Source organism: Homo sapiens, chromosome 5 (assembly GCF_000001405.40).
Source record: "Homo sapiens chromosome 5, GRCh38.p14 Primary Assembly".
In the NCBI taxonomy this organism is placed as follows: Eukaryota; Metazoa; Chordata; class Mammalia; order Primates; family Hominidae; genus Homo; species Homo sapiens.
The window spans coordinates 169192051-169215953 of record NC_000005.10 but is presented as its reverse complement, the minus strand read 5'-3'; the positions used below and the strand labels follow the sequence as shown (position 1 = coordinate 169215953).

Sequence of the window (23903 nt, the reverse complement as noted above, 5' to 3'; positions counted from 1 at the left end):
ATTTTGAGCATGAAATAAATTAATCAATGTAAAATGTTTAAAAGAGTGGTACTCCATAAATATTATGATGATGATAAAGGGCTTTAGACATGAGGGAACAAGAAAAGACAATTCCTAAAATAGGAATTTCATTCTAGGAAAGAAGTTTTTCAAACAAGGTTAGCACTTGGCCTTTGAAATGTATCATTTATTTATTCAAATATTTATTCAATCTTTCCTTCTTTATTCAGGAAATCTTTAGGAGCTCCTTTGATGTACAAAGCATTCTGATCGGGCCAGGGAGATGGGCAGGGGATGGCAAGCAGCAGCCATGGGCCAAATTTGGCCCACTGCCTGCTTTTATAAATAAAGTTTTATTGGAACTCAGCCACACTCATTTATTGATGTATTGTTTATGGTTGCTTTTGCACTCCTTCAGCAGAATTGAGTAATGTTGACAGACACCATGGAGCCTACAAAGCCCAGAGTAATTACTGTTTGGCTCTTTACAGAAAGGGTTTCCTAGCCTTCATTCACTCTGTGATGAAAGAAACAAATAAATAGAAAATTATAGTAAAATAATGACAGAGGACTCTGGGAGTAGACAGGAGGATCAGACAGACTTCCTAGAATGGATGCCCTCTCAGCTGAGACCTAGAGGCTGAACTGGAGTTAATAAAGTAGAGGAGAAGGAAAAAGTATTCCAGATAGAACAACATCAGCAAAGGCCCAGAGGTGAGAGAGTGCGAGTTACGTTCAAGAACTAAAGGAAGTTCGTCATGGCTGGGGGGCAGAGGACAGATGACACAAAGCTTTCCAGGTAGGATTAAAACATTTCGATGATTTCCTGAGGGCAATGGGGAGCTACTGAAGGATTTCCAGCAGGAAAACAACATAATTAAGTTTGTATTATAGGGAGATCATTCTTTCTGCAATAAAGGTGGATTTAAGGCTTAAGTGGAAGGGTGAGGAGCGAGACTGGAGGCAAGGAGGTGCCCCTTTCAGTAATGCGGAGGGAAGATGGCAGCCTGGACCAGGGGAACGGCCATACAGTTAGGAGAAGGGGATTGTTTGGAGACATATTTAAAGATGCATACCTCATGGCATACAGCGATTGATTGCACATCATGAGTGTCAAGTGAAAAGGAGGGAAGCATGAGCCCTTGCTCAGAGCTATTCTCTGAGATGGGGACCAGGTTGGGGATGGAAGGAGATGACAGTGTCCATGGTGAACATGCCTTTGGGATACCCACAGGAGATGTCACGTTGGATTCATTGCAGAGCAGCATATCCCTTTCACTTTACTCTTGAAGACAATTAGGGAGTCTCCGTTAAATGTTGGGTAATACCCAGGTTCAGTATACTGGTGTTAAAGAACTCCACCCACTTCCACCACCACCATCCCCTCTACCCACCTTTTCACACACGGATTTGCCGCACCTCCCCTTTGGGAACTTTATTTGCCTCTCCAGAGGGCCCTCCCAGTCACCCTGGCCTCCTCCCAGTTTCCCAGACAAGCCTTGGTTGTTGCCACTTCCTCACTGCGGTTCCTGGGTTTTCCTCTGCCTCTTTTCTCTTTCCACATCCCAATTCCCCTTTAAGGCCCTTGTGGGAGCTGTTATAATTACTGCCTCACACAGTGCTTTCTCCTGAGCCCTGACTTCTGCTGCCTGCTGCCTTAGAGCAAACTCTGCATGGGACATCTTCTTTCCCCCTTGATGGGCTCTCCATGAAGCGGGTGTTGTCAACTTACTTGGAACCAGATATTGAGCACTTATTTTATATCAGGCAGAATACAGAGCCACTTATATGATTTCAATTAATTCTTACAACTCCCTTGGGAAGGAGGTGTTTGTCTTCTTTCCATTTAACAGATGAGAAGACTGAGACTTGATGAGTTTAGTCAATTGTTCTGAGTAGTAAATGACAGACTCTCCCAATGCTCATGGCTTAGCTCTCACCACCAAGTGGATGATGCCTGCTGTCTCTTTGAACTTGACCTATTACTTGCCATCTTGGTACCTTCGTTTGGCCACTCTTACTTTATTCCACACCTCTTTCTCCTTCCAAGCTTCTGAGTCTGTCAAAGCCATCACTATTATGCACATTTTTCTAGAACAGAAGCCTGGCTATTTCTTTGATTCATTTATTTAACAAATATTTATTGTGTCATGTGCCAGGCACTGTTCTTAGTTCTGGGGATATAGTAGGAAGAGAAAAAAGTTTTTACCCACATGGAATTTATATTCTAGTGGGAGACCATAGACAGTAAACAAAACAAGTAAAATGTGTAATAGGTCAGATCATCACTTGGAAAAAATTAAGCAGGGGAGTGAGTCAGAGAGCTCAGGAATGGAGTTGCAGTTTTAATGGGATGGTCAAGGAAGATCTCCTGGAGGAAGGGATATTTGAAGAGAGATCTGAAGAAAGTGAAGATGTCAGCTCTAGTTTGAAGTCAGATAGCATGATGCCTCCAGCTTTGTTCTTTTTGCTTAGGATTGTCTTGGCTATGCAGGCTCTTTTTTGGTTCTATATGAAGTTTAAAGTAGTTTTTTCCAATTCTGTGAAGAAAGCCAATGGCAGCTTGATAGGGATAGCATTGAATCTATAAATTACTTTCTCCTATCCATGAGCATGGATGTTTTTTTCTTTTATTTGTGTCCTCTTATTTTCTTGAGCAGTGGTTTCTGGTTCTCCTTGAAGAGGGCCTTCACAACCCTTGTAAGTTGTATTCCTAGGTATTTTTTTTCTCTTAGTAGCAATTGTGAGTGGGAGTTCACTCATGATTTGGCTCTCTCTTTGTCTGTTATTGGTGTATAGGAATGCTTGTGATTTTTGCACATTGATTTTGTATCCTGAGACTTTACTGAAGTTGCTTCAGCTTAAGGAGATATTGGGCTGAGATGGTGAAGTTTTCTAAATATACAATCATGTCATCTGCAAACAGAGGCTACAGTAACCAAAACAGATATATAGACCAATGGAACAGAACAGAGGCCTCAGAAATAACTCCACACATATACAAACATCTGAGCTTTGACAAACCTAACAAAGACAAGCAATGGGGAAATGATTCCCTATTTAATAAATGGTGTTAGGAAAACTGGCTAGCCATATGCAGAAAACTGAAACTGGACGCCTTCCTTATACCTTAGACAAAAATTAAGATGGATTAAAGACTTAAGCAAAAATTAAGATGGATTAAAGACTTAAACATTAGACCTAAAACCATAAAAACCCTGCAAGAAAACTTAGGCAATATGATTCAGGACATAGGCATGGGCAAAGACTTCATGTCTAAAACACCATGTCTAAAGCAATGGCAACAAAAGCCAAAATTGACAAATGGGATCTAATTAAACTAAAGAGCTTCTGCACAGCAAAAGAAACTATCAGAGTGAACAGGCAACCTACAGAATGGGAGAAAATTTTTGCAATATATCCATCTGACAAAGGGCTAATATCCAGAATCTACAAAGAACTTAAATTTACAAGAAAAAAAAACATACAACCCCAACAAAAAGTGGGCAAAGGATATGAACAGACGCTTCTCAAAAGAAGACATTTATGCAGCCAACAAACATGAAAAAAAGCTCATCATCACTGGTCATTTAGAGAAATGCAAATAAAAACCACAGTGAGATACCATCTCATGCCAGTTAGAATGGTGATCATTAAAAAGTCAGGAAACAACAGGTGCTGGAGAGGATGTGGAGAAATAAGAACACTTACACTGTTGGGGGGAGTGTAAATTAGTTCCACCATTGTGGAAGACAGTGTGGTGACTCCTCAAGGATCTAGAACTAGAAATACCATTTGACCCAGCAATCCCATTACTGGGTATATACCCAAAGGATTATAAATCATTCTACTATAAAGACACATGCACATGTATGTTTATTGCAGCACTATTCACAATAGCAAAGACTTGGCCCCAACCCAAATATCCATCAATGATACACTGGATAAAGAAAATACACCATGGAATACTATGCAGCCATAAAAAAGGATGAGTTGATGTCTTTTGCAGGAATATGGATGAAGCTGGAAACCATCTCAGCAAACTAACATAAGAACAGAAAACCAAACACCACATGTTCTCACTCATAAATGGGAGTTGAACAATGAGAACACATGGACACAGGGAGGGGAACATCACACACGGGCCGTCTGGGGACGGGGGGCTAGGGGAGGGATAGCATTAGGAGAAGTACCTAGTGTAGGTGACAGTTCAATGGGTGCGGGAACCCCCCAAGGCACGTGTATACCTATGTAACAAAACTGCACATTCTGCACATGTACCCCAGAATGTAAAGTATAATAATAAAAATATGCCAGCTACTTAGACATGTTTTCTAGGAATAAAAAAGGAAGAGGCCCAAAGGAAGGTGCACCCTAATGTGTTCCAGGAGTAGCAGGTAAAGCCACATGGCTGGAGTAGAGTGAGAGAGTAGGAGAGTGGTAGGAGGTGAATTTTGAGGGGTAACGGGATAGGGAGATGGACAGATCATGTAGGGATATATGGCCCATTGTAAGCACTTAGACTTTTACTCTGAGTGATGTGGGAGCAACTGAGGGGCTTTTGAGCAAAGGAATTACCTGATTAACATGGGTTTTAAAACGTTCACTCTAGCTGCTCATGGAAAATAGGATGTAGGAGCAAAAGCAGAAACAGGGGAACCAGTCATGAGACCCCAATCCCTCCTCCTCTGCATTACTCAGTTTTCCTTTCTAGCCAGACAACCTCAGAATCTCAGCGGCTTACAAAAATAAGCATTTATTTTCTTTGTATATGGGTCATGGGTTGGCTGGGTTTGGCTGTTTCAGATGGTCTTAGCTGGGCTCAGTTGGGTTTGGATTCAGGCTGTGATTTGGGTTCAGGAATATCCTTGTGACTTCTCCTTCTATTTGGGTTCTTGGCTATCAAAGGCATATTTTTTGATGGCAAATGAAATAAGAGATGAGATCAAGCCAAGTCACTCAAGCACATTTAAAATCTCTGCTCACATCACACTCACACCAACCTTCTGTTAACCAAATCAAGTTACATGGCCACACCCAACATCAATGGAACATGGAAATATATACTTCCCACTTTAATGGAAGATACTGCAAAATCACACGGCCAAACCCTTGGGTGTATAATTCTACTAGTGTGCGGAAGAATTGGAAACAATGAACCAGTTTCCACGCCCTGTCTCTATTCTAACTGTCTTCATCCCATTTGCCACTAAGTTTTGCCTTGTCTCCTGTTTCTCCTCTTACTTTGATTCATTCATTCCTACCTCTGGTCCCCTTTGACTCACACAACGGTCTTTGTCATGTTCAACTCCAGTTTCACCCCCACCACCCAACACATTCTGCATACCACTGCCCAAGTTCTCTTCCTACTAACTGACTTTCTTCATGCCAGTCCTTCCCAGGAAACTTCAGTGACCAGCTGCTGAGCAACACATCATTTTCCAAGTGCCAGTACATTCTATACCTTCTTCATGGTTTTTGTCAATTCATGCAACACCTTTACTCAAATTATTTTCTTTAATTTGACTTTAAGTCAACTTCCTTTCTTTTTCCTTGGCCTCTCTTTAATAATGACCATGAGAGAGTTACGCATTTTTGTAAAAACATAAAAAATATAATGCAAGTAAATTTTTTTGTGCATTTATTTGCCCTCTGAAATCTTGAGAGATTGGACAACTGCATTTTGGAACCCGCTGGCTTCCCACAAGGCCCCATACCTTCATCCTACCTGTCTGGCCTTACCTCTCATTTCTCTCTATGTCCGTTGCCTGGGTCATGATGCACCCCTCACTGTGGACTGCCCTGGGTAGCTATCTGCCATAGCGATTTCTCCCACAGCTTCTGTGTTTTGTGGCACACATCACATGTTCACACGGGGCTTATCTTGCTTATCTTATTCTGCTGCTAGATTGCAAGTTCCTTAAGGAGGAGGTCTTACTGAATTTTGTATCTCAGAGTATGATGCAGAATAGGCACTTAGTAGACATTGAATTTTATAATTTTTTTTTATTATACTTTAAGTTCTGGTATACATGTGCAGAACGTGCAGGTTTGTTACATAGGTATACGTGTGCCATAGTGGTTTGCTGCACCCCGTCAAACCATCTTCTACATTGGGTATTTCTCTTAATGCTATCCCTCCCCTTGCCCCCTACCCCCGACAGATCCTGGTGTGTGAGGTTCCCCTTGCTATGTCCATGTGTTCTCGTTGTTCAACTCCCAATTATGAGTGAGAACATGTGGTGTTTGGTTTTCTGTTCCTGGGTTAGCTTGCTGAGAATGATGGTTTCCAGCTTCATCCATGTCCCTGCAAAGGATGTGAACTAATCCTTTTCTATGGCTGCATAGTATTCCACATGTGGCATATATGCCACCTTTTCTTTATCCAGTGTACCATTGATGGGCATTTGGGTTGGTTCCAAGTCTTTGCTATTGTGAATAGTGCTGCAATAAACATACATGTGCATGTGTCTTTATAGTTGAATGATTTATAATTCTTTGGGTGTATACTCAGTAATGGGATTGCTAAGTGAAATCTGGTTCTAGATCCTTGAGGAATCGCCACATTGTCTTCCACAATGGTGGAACTAATTTACACTCCCACCAACGTGTAAAAGTGTTCCTATTTCTCCATATCCTTTTTAGCATCTATGGTTTCCTGACTTTTTAGTGATCGCCATTCTAAGTGATGTGAGATGGTATCTCATTGTGGTTTTGATTTGCATTTCTCTAATGACCAGTGATGATGAGCTTTTTTTCATATGTTTGTTGGCTGCATAAATGTCTTCTTTTGAGAAGTATCTGTCCATATCCTTCGCCTACTTTTTGATGGGGTTGTATGTTTTCTTCTTGTAAATTTAAGTTCTTTGTAGATTCTGAATATTAGCCCTTTGTCAGATGGATAGATTGTAAACATTTTCTCCCATTCTGTAAGTTGCCTGTTCACTCTGATGATAGTTTCTTTTGCTCTTCAGAAGCACTTTAGTTTAATTAGATCCCATTTGTCAATTTTGGCTTTTATTGCCATTGCTTTTGGTGTTTTAGACATTAACTCTTTGCCCATGCCTATCTCCTGAATTGTATTGCCTAGGTTTTCTTGTAGGGTTTTTATGGTTTTAGGGCTAACACTTAAGTCTTTAATCCATCTTAATTTTTAAGTCTTTAATCCATCTTAATTTTTGTCTAAGGTATAAGGAAGGGGTCCAGTTTCAGTTTTCTGCATATGACTAGCCAGTTTTCCCAATACCACTTATTAAATAGGGAATCATTTCCCCATTGCTTGTTTTTGTTAGGTTTGTCAACGTTCAGATGGTTGTAGATGTGTGGAGTTATTTCTGAGGCCTCTGTTCTGTTCCATTGGTCTATATATCTGTTTTGGTACCAGTACCATGCTGTTTTGGTTACTGTAGCCTATTAGTGTAGTTTGAAGTCAGGTAGCATGATGCCTCCAGCTTTGTTCTCTTTGCTTGGGATTTTCTTGGCTATACAGGCTCTTTTTTGCGTTCCATATGAAATTTAAAGTAGTGAACTCCCATTCACAATTGCAACCAAGTGAATAAAATATCTAGGAATACCACTAACAAGGAATGTGAAGGACCTCTGCAAGGAGAACTACAAACCACTGCTCAAGGAAATAAGAAAGGATACAAATAGGAAAACATTCCATGCTCATGGATAGGAAGAATCAGTATTGTGAAAATGGCCCTACTGCCAAAGTAATAATATGTAGATTCAATGCTATTCCCATCAAGCTACCCAATGACTTTCTTCACAGAATATGAATTTCTTAATTTATAAGTAAGCAACTGGAATTTTGATGTTTCAAAACACTACTATGAATTCTTTGAGGCAGATCTTTCCTTTTCTTTTTTTTCTTCCCTGTTTGCCCCCAGGTAAGCAAACAGTAGGTGCTTGTTAAATTTGACATAAGAATTGTGTAGTCTTAGTCCATTCCAGCTGCTATAACAAAATAGCATACTCTGGGTGGCTTATAAATAAATAAGGGGAAGTCCAAGATCAAGGAAGGTGCCAGTATACTTGGTGTCTGGTGAGGACCCACTTTCTGGTCATAGATGGCGCCTTCTAGCTTATGTGCTCACATTGTGGAAGATGCAAGGAAGCACTAATCCCATTCATGAGGGCTCCACCCTCATGGCCCAGTCACCGCCCAAAGGTCCCACCTCCAAATGCCATCATCTCAGTGGTTGAATTTTGAATGTGAATTTTAGTGGGGGAAGGACAGAAACATTTGGACCATAGCACAGGGGAACACAAGAAGGCAGCTAAGATGGATAATGAACAGTGATGATAATTCAGGTCATTTAGCCGTTCTTAGTTCTTTTAAGCCTAAGCTGAGTTTGAACATCAAACACATCATGATTTTGGTTATTGAAGGCACAAGAGTGTGAATGTGGAGCCCTTTGCCTTCATCCACAATTGAAAATATGTTATTTGTGTTAGGTAACTACCTCTGTTCATCCTATACTGGCTCTAACTTGGAGATGACGTTGAATTCTTTTCAGGATGGACTTGGTGCCGTGTGTGTGTGTGTGTGTGTGTGTGTGTGTGTGTGTGTGTGTGTGTATGTATGTGTATGTAAAACAGAGAAAGATAGTGGTCCAGAGGCCAACACACCTGGAATCTATTTGTGAGGGTCCCTGCTTCAGTCCACGAATTGGGCCATTCATTTATTTCTCAGTAAGTGAACATCTGGGATTCAGTTTGAAACGCCAATAAGTTTGGATGGGATCGCAAAGCTGTGGTTGGGATGTGGAACTGCTCGCCTGAGGTGGGAGTGAGCGAGGTGAGCGGGGGCTCTTAAACTATTTCTGCAGACTTCAGTTCAAATGCAATAGCCAGAGGGTTGAGAAATCCTTCCCGTGCTGGAAAAGCATTAAAAAAAAAAAAAGAATAAGGAAAAGATTCAATCAGATCGAAGTGACAATGCAATCTGAAAAGTGCCCCTTTCCCCCTTTTACCCAGCTCCCTTTCCATCCTACAGTTCTCATATTATCCAGGTATCTTCCTTTTCTAGCAAAAGAAAAAAAATAACAAAAAAACCTTGGACCTGAATCGGGAAGAAATGCTATGAGAAAATAAAAATTCTAATTAGTTATAGATGAGAATTGGTCACAGATAATTATTCTACGTTCTTTGGCTTATGCCAGAAAAGGCTTAAAAGAACTTTTTTTGTTGTTGCTGTATATGTAAATGTAGATGTAAATGCCTAGATAAACACACAGAGAGGCACACCATCATTAAGAGATCTTGCAGATTTTGAGTGTTTAGAACAAAAATGAAAGAGAAATTTGTCATTCACAAACTAGGAATGTTTGAATCGTTTACTGTCAGGACTTTGTCACTTTGAACTAACTCAAAACAAAAGAAAAGGCCAATGGGTTCAAACAGGATCATTTTAAACAGTACACTTCCAGAAAATTTGTGCTGAGTTGTACCTGCCCTCCCTGATATCTACTAGCTAGAGTATTTCTATTTCAATTTGCATCTGGCAGTTTCCTACCTGTGAGTCGAAGGGGTTGGAGACCTAGATGAAAGGCCTAGAATAACCCAGAGAGAACATGGAGAATCTGTGGTGGGCTGTGCTCATGCCATCTGATTTAGAACCAGCTTTGCTGCATTGTTTTGGGGGTCTTAAAAGGGGAAAAAATCCTAATAGCTGCCTGAAGTATTTTTCTCTTAATTCCTCATAGAAATGAGTAGATATTAACCACAGGCTGCCCAAGGCATGCTTAATGTCTTGATGGAGCGTGCTTTTGCAGAGTGTTGCTAACGCATTCTCAGTCCCTCTTCCCTGCCCCCAACATAGCCCTGCCATATTTATTCCCAGGCAGCATGGAAAAAGAGAAAGTTAGCTTTTGGGGGCAATCTGCTTTTTCCTTTTATTAATTGCACCCCTCACTCTTCTCATATAGAAACCTTATGTGGATGTCCCACCTGGTGTAAGAATGCTTGCCCTGACTCTGGCTTCACTCTGTTCTGAAGCTGCCTCTGCTTCTCTCACCCTACTGCACAGAACTGCTGGCATGAGCCTCTTGCTCCAAGCTCTCAGGACCCTCTTTCAAGCAGTATGGGTCAAAGTGTTTGATTTGTGCTACTGTGATTGTGACTGTTCAGTAACCTGGTTGCGATACTCTGGAAGGTGCCTAATGAAATACTCTAGTTTTAACAGCTGAAGTGAAATAGCCAGCACAGGGGGCTTGGGCAGCAGCACGCAACTTATAGCACTTTCAGTTCTTCACAAAGTTTGCCCCCTTTGGCTCATCTGTTCCTCAGTAATTCTGTTAGATAAGTGGAGTAGATATTCACTCATTTAGTCATTCAACCAACCAATGAACCAACCAACCGATGAACCAACCAACTAACCAACAAGTATTTATTGAGCACCTACTAGTTGCCAGGCTCAAGTGGCAGTGAACAAAACAGACAAAAATCTTCTCATGGCACTACACATTTGAATGGATATCCTAGTAGGTATCATTATGCCCATTTTCACATGAAGAAACCAAGGCATAGGGAGATTAAATCCTAAGGCCATGCAGTACATTAAAATTCAAATATTCTCTCCAGCTCTCAGAATAAGGAGAATAGAATAGGTCATCTTAGGACTCATCTCATCCAACCCACTGATTCTGTTGATGGAGGAAACCAGGGCTGTGGTTTACATGGAGTTGCATAGCTCTAGGGCAGAGCTAGAATTATATAGCACAGCCTTCCTAAGCCCCAGCGCCATGCCCTGTCCAAGAGTTCTTAGACCCTGCAGAGGCATATAATTCATAGACTTTGTCGTTTGTCACCATTCCTCACCCGCTTAATGAGGCCCCCTCCCTCATTACTCAGCATAGATTTCATGGCTCATTTTCATAATTGCTCTCAGCACATTCCCTCAATTCCTGGGCCCCTCTCTTCCTCCATCATAGTTGCCTGGAAACGCCCTAACCTTGGCTGAATTCAGCCTTCTATTGTTTGCACCCTCTCACCCAGGGGACTTGAATGTTGCTGAAGAAACACACACACTTCTGTGGACGAATCTCACTTACAGCTCATGACCACTAACCTCAAATGGGCATTGGCTGCCGCCCGGCAACCCTCCAGCCTTTCCTAAGCAGCGATGTCTCACCTTTCCTTCTCAGTCATCATACCTCCTCATCTCTCCCTGGCCTCTGCTGAGAATCTGGCTTTGTTTTTCACTGAGGAAACAGAAGTGGTCAGAAGAGACCCTCCACAGACACCCACCACCACATCTGCCACCCCCCGTCCCCTGACTTCTGCCTTCCCGCTGTTGCCACAGGTGACCCGTCTCTGGCCCTGCCAAAGGCCACTGCCATCCCTTTGCACTGGGATTACCTCTGTTGCCTGTTCAGGAGCTTCACTCTAAAATTTTTCTCCTCTCTCCCCTGAATCATCAATGTGCCTCGCTCCTATGTCATTCTTATCAGCACTGAAGCATGTCACGATTTCCTCCATCTTAAACAATAAAACCCGACTTGACCACATTCTCTCCTAGCTATCAACCCGTTTTCTCTCCTCCTTTATTTTGGACGTCTCAACATCATTGTTCCTTTTTATTTTCCCCCACTCTTTTTTGAACCACTCCTGCTAATAGGTCATGCCCATCTTTGGACCAAGCAACTCTTTGCAGGGTCACCAGTGGGCTCTTCATTGCCCAACCCAATGTTATCCTCATCTTTCTCTGTGTCTCAGCAGAAGTTGGCTAACCAGTTCCTCCCTCCCTCCCTATCTCCCTCCTTTCTTGAAACTCTCCCTTCACTTGGCCTTCACAACTATGCTCTCTCTTGCTTCTCCCCCACCACACTGGGGGCTGTTTCCTCCTCTCTCTGGCTCGTGTAGCCCAGAACTCAGTCCACACTCCTCTTGCCTTGTCTTCATCTCCCACGGTAACCACATCCAAGTTCATGGCTTTAAATTACCACCTACATCTCTCTATCTTGGTCTTATCCCTGAGTGCCCCATATGTGTATATCCAATCATCTGTTGGGCATCTATAATTGGGAATATTTGTAGGCATATCAAATTTAACATATCCAAATCTGCCCCCAACCCCCTGCTCTACCCACAGTCTTCCCCCATCTTGGCTAACAGTAGTTCCAAAGTTTTAGATGCACAGGCCAAAATATCAGCCTCATCCTTGACTCCCCTTTTCTCTCTTGCCTTGCCTCCAATCCATCAGCAAATCCTGTCTGCTCTACCCTCAAATTATTTATAGAATTTGACTACTTCTTAACACCTCTGCGGCTGTTATCCTGGTAGCAGGGTAAAGAGCATTCCCAGAGAAGGGAAGAGCATGTGCAAAAACTCTGATCCGGGGAAAGCTGCAAGAGTAGAAAATCTCAAAAGAGATCCAGGAGTGATTCTTGAATCTGGGGAGTTGTCTGCTTTCTTGGCCGCATTGTGAGATGTCATGGGGAAGAGGTCACTATAGGGATGCAGCTTTGGTGATTGCCAAGTGGTCTGACTGCCTGAAATGGATCTGGCCAGCTCTGAAGTTATAAATGACTATTAACTTGCATGTACATTATTATCTGCTGTGTGTGTGTGTGTGTGTGTGTGTGTGTGTGTGTGTGCACATTCACATGCACGCATAAATATGTGCTTTCTTCCACCCTAGATATGTTTTCTTGGAGTCTGAGCCCTAGTGTACTAATATATACCCTTGTACAATCTTCTGGGGCTCCCCAGAGACCCATGCCCTTGACTTTAGTCCTAGATAAAGCAACCTATTGGCTACGGCCTCTGGGGTTCCCCTGCATTGTTCTGGGCAAAATTTACTTAGGCCTGTGAGTCAGCCATCCTGGAACTAGAGGACTCACAGTGCCTTTTGGCCCATTCTCTGCAGAACCAGTGATTTTCCACCTCTGTGTAGACAGGACTCTTGTCCATCTTCTCCCTCACCCCCTTCGTTTCTCCTGAAATCAAGATCTTCTGGATGCAGGGGCATTTGTGGGCATCAGGGGCATATGGGAGTAGCCAGGGCAGGGGTCAGAGGCAAGGCAGGCTCAGGCCATTATGTACTCTACATTTCCCTAACAGCCATGTCATTGGAGAAAAAGTAATCCAATGTGAGGTACAGGAAAGGTCAAAAGAGATTGTTTGGTATGTGTGTGTTGCGGGCAGGGGTGGGGTGGGGGGGCTTTGTGCTTGTTTTCTTTTCATACTTGAGTCCTGAGCTGGATCTCAGTAGGATGTGATCCTGACCAAGCTCCCAGAGTTCTCTATAACCACATAAATAGGGCAAGGATTTCCTGAGACTCTCATAGCCTTCTTCTGAAACCAGAGAGGCATGGCCGGCAAATATTCCTTGTTTCTATCCTCCCTGCTGGGATTATTGGGCATCCTTCTGTCAACCAAGGCTCCAAAAAGTTAGAGAAGCAGAATGGCAAGGGGGTTAAAATCACAGGTTTTAGTGTCCAAGAGACCTCTGTTCAAGCCTTAAGTTTGGGCTGTGTGGTTTTGGAAAAGCTACATAACCTTGCTGTGCCTCAGTTTCCTTATCTTAATGACTGTAACAGTGTCTGCTTCAAGAGTTTCTTTAAGGACGAAGTGAGATAATACAGATAAAACACCTAACACAACACTTAGCTCATAGTAGTAAGTGCCCTATGTGAACATAAAAAAGGAAGGAAGGATGGATAGATGGACAAGGACAGAGATTTTTATTTTATTTTATTTTATTTATTTATTTTTGAAATAGGCTCTTGTTCTGTTGCATAGGCTGGAGTGCAGTGGGATGATCTTGGCTCACTGCAACCTCCACCTCCCAAGCTTAAGCAATCCTCCCACCCAGCCTCCTGAGTAGCTGTGACTATAGGTGTGTGGCACCATGCTCAGCTAATTCTTTGGATTTTTTGTAGAGATGAGGTTTCACTATATTTCCCAGGCTGCTCTCAAACTTCTGGACTCAAGCAATCCTCCTGCTTTGGCCTCCCAAAGTGCCAGGACTGTAGGCATGAGACACTGCACCTGGCTGACAAAGAGATCTGTGCTGTTTTGATGCTTAAGGCATACTGGTGGTTAAGATAGTCCTCAACAAAATATCCAAGTGTTCCTGTAGATTTCCCAGCTTCCTTTGCAGCTAGGTTTGTGCCATGTGACTAGTTCTGGCCAATCATGTGAGAAGTGGTATGAGTCACTGCTGGGTCAAGGGAGTTAAGAGCTGATGTACTTCCTCCTTCCTTCTCTTCCCCTGGCACAGCAGCCTTGGAGGCCACATGTTCTCTAAGGTATCATACCATATGGAACAAACCCTTTATGTGAGTGTGGAATAAGTGTTTATTGTGTTAACCCACTGAGATTTTGGAGTTCATTTGTTATTGCCTTGCTGACTGATATAGTCATCTATGAAGGAGAAATAAATCTCCTGAATTTCCAACCTCTTGGGACATCTAGGGACAATTATACTGATAATAACAGTAGCTGTAACAGCTACCACTTATTGAGCCCTTGAGAAACATTGCAAAGCCCTTTACAGATGTTAAACCATTCAGCCCTCTCAGATATCCCATGAGGTACATGTTTTGCTATTACATAATAATTGTGTTCCTAAAATAATCTTTAGGTTATTTTTTAAAAGGGTTCTTGCAAACATCTTCAGTGAGGGTAAAAAAAACTGCTTAGGGATCAGAATTTTAAAGTATGACCACAAACTTCTTTCTCCTATAGAAATGTCAAAAATAAAGGGGTTTTTAATTGCTATTAGGACTTTCAGAACTTACAAACTAAAAAATAACTGATTTCAAAACTGATGTAAGCCAGCCTAAATGTCATTGATCAAATACTGAATACCATGGAAGACAAATCTCAGGTCAACTTGCAGCTAAGCCATCAAAATAAATTGTGGGTTGGTCCACACTTACTATAAGGAAGCTCCATTATATCTCAATGAAGCTGCTTGTCCCTCCAAAAAAGGGAAGCCTCAAAGGCAAAGAATAGCATCATTCAACTAAAATGGCCCTGGGTATTGAGTCTGTAAGCCATTAGACTTTCCTGCCCCACATATGGGGACCATTCCTGATCATGACACTGGTATAAACCAACAACCATCACAAATTAGCTTCCTTGCTGAATTGCTCAGATTACATCCAGTTTGCATTATGAAAATTTGCATAGCAGGAAAAAAAAAGCCTGAATTGGCTGTTAGACAGGTGAGGAAACCAAGGAAGTAAGAGGCCTTCAGTGACTACAGTAAACAACTAGTGGGAACAGCCCCAGATCAAGGATCTCTACTCTTTTGACTCTCCAGAGTTCAAGTTTTTTGCCCCCGATTTATAGTGACATCTGTACATCTTCATAGTTGATGATGTCATCTCTGAACTGATGTTTGAGGCCTGTGAAGTTTGGTTCTGCCCTTGCCCGGAGTCTGTAGTCATCATCCCTGGCGCTTGCTGGCCTGGAGCAGCAGCTGGCAGGAAGCATTGTCCCTCTCCCTCTCTCCATTGGGGGTGACTTGGAGCTTTTGCACTAGATAACAAAGCTGCTTGGGTTCTTGTTGTTGAGACATGTGAGTGTTTCTGAAAGTACCAGTAGACGGAGAAAGAATTCAGGCTGCCTAAGAAGCTGCCTGGGGAAGGGGAAACAATTGAGTTCATTACTAAAGCAAGCAGTCCTGGTGACCTGTAGGGGTTAGCACACTTTGACTTTCTTCCTCCCTCGGGCCTGATTGGGCAGCTGACAGCCCACAGCTCCCTGAGGAAAGGAGGGGATTTGATGTGCAGTGGGCCATGCCCAGGCCCTAGTGGCCCCTCACCCCTTCCCTTTCCTGAGGGAGGGGAAGTAGTGACCCCTTCGCCCTGCTCACCTTGCTTGTCAGTGAGGTTGATACCTCTGAAAGCTGAGTCTCTAAGAAGTTTCTGAATGATGAAGACAGACTCAGGTAGGCAGGCCCTCTGGGAGCCCTGTTTACCCTCACACAGTGTGACTTCCCGGATCAGCAGGGCTATTGATTCATCAGGCTCCCCTAGCTGGCCTTTCCTACCTTTTGATTTATTCATGAAATTCAGCAGGCCCTTCTGGAAGGTTCTTTGTGTGCCTGATGCTGTGTTGGCTACTGTTGGGACGCAAAGGACTTTTTAGTTGTATTTCCCACCCTTAGTCCTTGAAACTTAGATGATAAGACAGTTTATAATGAAGGGCTAAATTAAGAATTCTCACTACACATAGTAGGTAAGAGCACAGGCTTAGCAGCAGGCACCTGGGTTCAAGTCCCACCAACTATCACGTTGGTCAAGCTTGACTTTGGGCAAGTTCTTAACCTTCTTAGGCCAGTATTTCCTAAATATAGGGATGCTAAGAGCACTGGCCTCCAAACGTTTCCATGGAGATTAAATGAGGTAGTGCATGTAAAGTGCTCAGTACAATGCCTGGCTCATGGTTTTAGTATTATTACTAACTACTGCTATTAGCTGTCAAAACATATTTGAGAGATTTCAGCATTGCAGAAATCCTGAATCTAAACACACCACCTTCCGCACAGTGTTCCTCCCTTCTCTATTCCTCTCATTAGGGATTGGTAATTTGACTGATCAGTTACCCCACCTGGAGCGACTTTTCATACCCGCACTCCTGTAACTCCCTGAATCCTCACGTACATCCTGTCACAAAACCCAGCCGATTATACCTCACTTCTCTCTCCTACACTTCAGCCACACTGTTATCCTTAACCAGGTCTTCACGCAGAGACCAATCCTCACGTACATCCTGTCACAAAACCCAGCCGATTATACCTCACCTCTCTCTCCTACACTTCAGCTGCACTGTTATCCTTAATTAGGTCTTCATGCAGAGACACTAGTTACCCAAGAACACTTTTAACTGGTTTTCCTGCTTCCGATTTCAACCTCCTCCAAACTGGGCTTACTGCTACTCAGGAGACATGTGTATATGTATGTATGTGTGTGTGTGTGTGTGTGTATTTATATATATATATATAAATATACACACATATGTGTGTGTGTGTGTGTGTGTGTATAGTTTGTTTGTTTGTTTTTTGAGTTGGAGTCTTGCTCTGTTGCCCAGGCTGGCTTGCAGTGGTGTGATCTCAGCTCACCACAACCTCTGCCTCCTGGGTTCAAGTGATTCTCCTGCCTAAGCCTCCCGAGTAGCGGGGATTACAGATGTGCATCCCCATGCCAAGCTAATTTTTATATTTTTAGTAGAGACGGGGTTTCACCATGTTGGCCAGGCTGGTCTCGAGCTCCTGACCTCGTGATCTGCCCACCTTGGCCTCCCAAAGTGCTGGGATTACAGGCATGAGCCACCACGCCCGGCCAGGAGAACTTTTTAAAATTCAAACCAGATTATCACTCCCTTGCTCAAACCCTTTCTCTGGCTCCCTCTTACTATCTGTAAAAAGCCAAACCCAAATTCTTTATTATGGATAAAAAGGCCCTTTGTGGTATGACTGCTGCCTAGTTGTACACCTTCATCACTTGTGTTCGCAGGTCACCTCTGTGTTCTAGCAGTGCAAGCCTGCTTCCCAAATGCTCCTGTCTCCTGGCCCTCCATGGAGTACAGAGCACATACTGCTCTCTCAGTCTAGAAGTCTCCACCTCTGTCTCCTAAAGAGTTCTAGTCATCCTTTAAAACTAAACTCAAAACCATCTTCCTTGGGAAGCCTTCTTTTAACAAGGACTGGGTTAGCTGCTGCTCCATTGTGTTCCCACGACACCTTCGCTTTCAAGAACATGGCAATTTTTTGTTTTCAGGTCTGTCTTCTTCACTAGCATATGACATTTTTAAAAGAAGGGGCTGTATCTTATTCATTTTTGTATGTTCATATTGAAAAACTGGAGAAATGAAAGAATGGATGGATGGGTAAATGGTGGTTGGACGGATGAGTGAATGCTTGGGTAGATGGGTTGGTTGATGCATAGATGGATGGTGGTTGGATGTACAGATAAATGAACAGTTGGATGGATGAATGGTTGAATGGATACATGGATGGGTTCGATGAAGTGGCAAAAACTTCTATTTATATCTTACACCCAGGTACATCTAGAAAGGCCTTTAGTGGTTCCACAAAGACAAGGGCCTATTTCTTAGTGCTTCTCAATTCAGGCTGAAAAGCAGTATGGCTTTGCAACTCAGCAGCCAGTTGGTTTTTTTTTTACCTTTATGCTCCCCATTGTTGCATCAGGAAAGCTGAGGAGTTTTGATCTTAGTGGGAGAGGGAATACCTAGGAAGGCCTTATCCTGTCATTGCCCTGGCCCACATCTCATTTGCTGACTTCCTCAGTTCTGTCCTCATATGAGTTCCATTCAGTCCTGTTCTCCATTCAGTAATCATGGATTTACTTCCAGCTTGAACTATGGCAGGAGATCTCCACCTCTGGACCCAGAGTAACAGAACAGCAGATGGCATGAGTGTACCATGGCCAATAGCCACTGTCTGCACCCGGCACTTACCTGTTTATCAGGAGAACAGCATGTCTCATTCTGTTCATTTTCCTGTTGAGGGGCTGCTTTCACAGAAGCCACATGGGAAGTGTACCTTATGCAGCTTGGAGCCTTCATCATCTTTTCAAGGAAGACTTTCCAGGCCCATATTTACTCAGTAAATATGAGTAAATCCTGGAGTTACCTGGAAATACAGTATCTAGCTCCTTCTGATATTGAGAACCAGCAGGCGACCTGCTCGAGCTTAAGTGGAAAGGTCCCAAGGCTTTTGGGAGCAGAGCCCCACCCATCTGTCCCAGAATCCTCATTCAGGGTTTATGAAGCAGTGGGCAGCACACAATTGGCTAAATTTAGTTATATTTTTATTTTTGTCCAGCCACAAATACCGGCAAAAAACTGAAAATGATTCCTTCCCTTCCAGGAGCCTTGGAGCCAAGCTGGTTTTATTTTTAGCTTCAACTCTGGTTTAGGGTTTTCAGCAAACCGAACACCCTACTCACTGAAGACAGCAGCAAGCTGGGTTTTAGGATTTTTGCCTGGAATGGAGTGTTGGTTCTCTGAATATAACTCTTAAAAGACTTTGTACAGTTGTGACAATAGAGGGTGGTTCCAGACAGACCCACATAGAGACTCAGTTCTTGCCTTAGGGACCTCCAAGAGAGTTCCTTTCCAGGGAAGGCAATGTACACAGGGTGGTTCATTGCCTTGGATGGGTTGGAGGAAGTGGCAACTCTGGATGAAAAGAAACAGAAAAATTAAGAAAGGGAAAGGGAGAGGGAGCTGTTGTTTATTGAAAGGCTTTGAGTAGCATGGTGGTTCAGAACTAGAGCTCTGGAGTCTGACCGACTGGGTGCAAATCCTGCCACTACCACTTCCTGACATTGTGGCCTTGGGGATGGCTTGACCTCCCCAGGCTTCAGGTTCATTCTGTATGAGACAGGATTAATAATGACACCTACCATGAGCACTGCTGCAGTTATGATCCTGCCTGTGTAGCACGTGGCATGGCGTTTGACATGCATGTAGAACTCAATCCATACCATTATCATCACTGTTGTCATGCTCTTATTGCAGTGCTGAACGCTTGCGTAGACACTGTGTCATTTAAGACTCACTGTAACCCATTTTGCAGATCTGAAACTGAGGTCCAAAGGGCTAGATAGCTTGCTTCAGATCCCACAGCAAGAGCACAATATAGCCAGACCTGTGCCCAGCCCCGGTGAATCCCACATACATCACATCAAGCCTTCTCCAGTTCCAACGGCTTCCACCTGTTATCGCTGAGTACATGGGAACTACTCAAAACATAAAAATAGATGTTGCCTCATCCTCCTCTTCCTGGAGTCCCCCTCTTTTTTTTTTTCTACTTTAGTGATGGGAACACACAAAAAGCAGATACTGGCAGTGGTCAAAGAGCACCAGGCAAAATCAGAGACAGACAGTGGAACGGTGATTGCCAGGGGCTGGGAGAAGGAGGGATGGGGAGTTGTTGTTCAACAGGGACAGAATTTCGGTTTTGCAAGATGAAAAAGTTCTGGAGATTAGTTGTTCAATGATGTGAATATACTCAACGCTACTGAACTAACTACACTTTTAGTGTACAGTTTTTTTATTGCTAAGAAGATAAATCTCATGATATGTGATTTTACTGCAATTTTTTAAAAATAAAAAGCACTGGGGTAAGAGTCAGGCTTCCCTCAGCCGGGCACGGTGACTCACTCCTGTAATTCCAGCACTTTGGGAGGCTGAGGTGGGCGGATCACTTGAGGTCAGAAGTTTGAGAACAGTCGGGCCAACATGGTGAAAACCGTCTCTACTAAAAATACAAAAATTAGCCAGGCATGGTGGTGTGTACCTGTAATCTCAGCTACTCGGTAGGCGGAGGTGGGGGAATCACTTGAACCTGGGACATGGAGGTTGCAGCGAGCCGAGATTGCACCATTGCACTCCAGCCTGGGCAACATAGCGAGACTCCGTCTCAAACAAAACAAAACAAGAGTCAGCCCCAGTGGTGGCCAGGGAATTAGAGCTTATCTTATCCAACTTTCCAGCCTTTCCTCCTTGCCTCCTCCTCATCAGGAGTCTCGTGGATGGCTTCCCTGCCCAGTGCTTACCCACTCGCTGCATGGCTGTCAGGCTGAGTAGCACCCTCTTGACAGTGGGCTTATTATATGTGAAGTCTTCAATGCTTCTCTATCACATGCTTTGTCCTGCTTGACCTCCTTCTAGTCGCTCATCCCTCTAAAGTTGTTGTCCATAGACCTAGGAAGAAAGGGGGGAAATGGGAGCAAAATCCCAAATAGGAAATCATGTCTGCTTGGTGGCAGGGGAAGGGGGCCAGGGCTTTGGGGCCAGGAGCTAGGGAGAAGCTCACCTTTTCTATTCCTTAGTTAGCTTTAGCTCTCAGATGGGGATCATATAGTTACATCATGTAATAGGCCATACTCAATTCACTCTAAGTAGAAAAATTCATCCAGGCTATGAACTGCTCTTTGGCTCTGAAAGATTCTGGGGGACTGTGGGGTGTATGCTTTAATCATGGTTTGGGTGGCTTCCTGTTTCCCTTGCTAGGCTGTGTCAACTCACTAGGGCAGAGGGGCATGGGGCTAGCATGCAGCAGGGCGTCTCTCTTGGCCCAGTGCTCCGAAGAAAGCAGCCTTCATGGAGATCATAATGATGGCTCTGTGTCACTTAAAAACTCAGGTAGCCTTTCTGTGGGTGTTTAGCATTGACCATGCTTAAGAGAAACTGGCTCCGTTGGCCAACATCCAATGTGAGCCATCCCTACTGGGCAGATTTTGCCACAAGCCATACCTCATGCCCAGACCTTGGTCCCTGACCCAGGGCCTACTTCTCCACCTCCAGGGATGGTGATAAGGGTCTACAATACTGTTAGGGGCCCATGAAAATGTTTTAATTTCTTCTAATATTGGAAGACAAAAATGAACTTTTGGGTAGAAATGTTATGTAATAATATATTTGCATTTATACCGACATAGTTATAAAATGTAATATTAAAAAAAAATTTGATGTAGAAAGCAGCCCACAAAGGCAAAATTGCCAAGGACCCACAAAACTCACAATGGAATCCTACTCTGGTCCACAGAGCCAAGATGGCCAGAATTCCATTTTGTTCCTCAGTCCAAGGTGATCTGCCATGCCCTCTTCTTTGTTCCTGAAGCAACTACTATCTGCTCCCACAATCACTGTTTAGGATCCTGAATATTTCCTCTGATATTTCATTTAAGGTTTCTTTTTCTTCTTTTTTTTTTTTTTTTTTTTTTTTTTTTTGAGACAGAGTCTTGCTCTGTCGCCAGGCTGGAGTGCAGTGGCACGATCTCAGCTCACTGCAACCTCTGCCTCCTGGGTTCAAGCGATTCTCCTGCCTCAGCCTCCCAAGTAGCTGGGACTACAGGCATGCAGCACGATGCCCAGCTAATTTTTTTGTATTTTTATTAGAAACGGGGTTTCACCATGTTGCCCAATGATGGTCTCGATCTCTTGACCTCATGATCTGCCTGCCTCAGCCTCTCAAAGTACTGGGATTACAGGCGTAAGCCACCGTGCCTGGCCCATTTATGTTTTTAGGTGTGTATTTCACATGCCAGTTTCATCACTCAGTAATAGCTACACGAAGCTCATGGTGAGAAAAGTTCAAAAGTCTTGTCTGGAGTCCATGGGAAGGAATATTGTGATCCATTAGTGATGTCTCTCCAAGACTGATGGAGGTGTGGCAGCACAGCGCATGTGCTGTATTTTTACTTTTGACTGACCTTTGCTTTGCATTCCCAACCTGACTCTAAGCCCCGCCAACAGGGAATATACCTTACATGTGTTGAGCAGCCCATACTGAAAGACGTAGAGAGTCTCTTAATGCCTATTGATTGATTGACTGATTGATTAAAGTGGTATCTGAATACGTTTGATCTGGTTTAATGTCCCCTTGACATCCTTCCATTCTCTTTCCTCTTTAGGCGCCTGAACAAGAATAAGCTGCAAGTCCTTCCAGAATTGCTTTTCCAGAGCACGCCGAAGCTCACCAGACTGTGAGTAGAGTTGCCTTGTGTTCTCTACCTTGTGCCTTGCCTGGCTTGGGTGATGTGGAGGATGTGGTTTGTGGAGCGCCGTGCCGTGTGGAGCTTGGCAGTTAGGCCCTGACATAGAGACTTGGAGCAGGGCTTTGACATGACGTCTACCCCCAACAAACACTTCCAGGCCTGACTTCTTGCTCCTTCTCTCAGACATCAGCGGCTTGCATGACCAGTGAGGACTAGTGATGTGTGGTAGTCCATCGTTGCCTTGCAAGGAGGGAGGCGATGCTTCCATGGATTGTGGGTCTGAACTTACTTCAGGTAAATTCCCTGAGGTGGGGTTTGAGATAGGTTTATTCACACGAGACTGTCAGTGGTCTCAGAAGGCAACGGTTTGGACCGAACATGGCAACCTCATCACCTTGCTGGTTGAAGCAGCTCCTGCCTTTTTCCCACTTCCTAGCGCTGCCAGTCTAGGAACCCTGGGTCTGGGGGTTTATGATTTTGTGGGAAAAGGAAGAAATGTGTTGAATTTTGCTTTATTCTCTTCAGAGATCCAGGGTAAAATGAGGAGAGGGGAGAGTTGGAGATACTTCTATTTATTCAGTGGGAGAATTTGGAAGCCCAGGAGCTGGAGTTGCAGGTGAGGGTGGAGACTGTGATTCATGTATTGTAGATGTCAGGCAAGTGCTAATTAAATTATCGACAGTGAACCTGAAATCATGCTGGCAGTGACTCAGTTCATGGGGTGTACTGAATTGCCTAAGGTACACCTTTCTGAATGAAGCGACACAGTCCTGGATGGCTTTGCAGTCAGGTAGCAAGATTTACAGCCTGGCTGGGAAGGCTTTAACATTGCAGGGAGGCTCCAACGTTGTGGCCACCATTCTCATTCCCAGTGGTTGCATTTAATGCCTACTTGTGCAGCCAAACACTGCATATAGGCTCTGGGATAAATTGGGAAACATGAAACACATGTCAGTGTGTGCACTTACGAATGAGTTCTGAATTAGGAATATATATTTCTATATGTCTATACACACACACACACACACACACACACACACACAGAGACTATATACATAAATTTATTTTAAAAGGGCACTTTGCTGGAACAAGAACAGGCAAGGGTTGGCTGGTATTCCAATCATGCAGTGGTCTCGCTTGCCTTCTCTAGGACACACCTGCACTTTGTCAGGTCTCCTCTTGCTGTGTGCCCCATCTCTCTGGCTCAGTCGCCCTAGCTGACTTTGCTAAATGTAGGAAAGGCTATACCCTCCTTTTTACTCTTCCAGTCTGGGTCTGCCTGGATGGGCATGGGGGCGGAGGAAATGCTGTTCAGCAGCCCGGGGGTCCAGAAGAGCTGGATAAACTATGCCAAATGGGCATACCAGAAACACCCTGGTTTGTAACATCCCCTGCCTTTCATAGCCCTGCCCTTAG

General features: G+C 43.7%; 1 protein-coding gene across 3 annotated transcripts in view; it reads left to right on the top strand.

The window, feature by feature from the left end:
• SLIT3 (slit guidance ligand 3) overlaps positions 1 to 23903 on the top strand; it is a 639400-nt gene that overhangs the window by 85186 nt on the left and 530311 nt on the right. For all 3 annotated transcript variants that reach the window (NM_003062.4, NM_001271946.2, XM_017009779.1), the window contains exon 4: positions 22404 to 22475. In NM_003062.4, the coding sequence (NP_003053.2) occupies positions 22404 to 22475 (72 nt within the window). The remainder of the gene's footprint in view (positions 1 to 22403; positions 22476 to 23903) is intronic.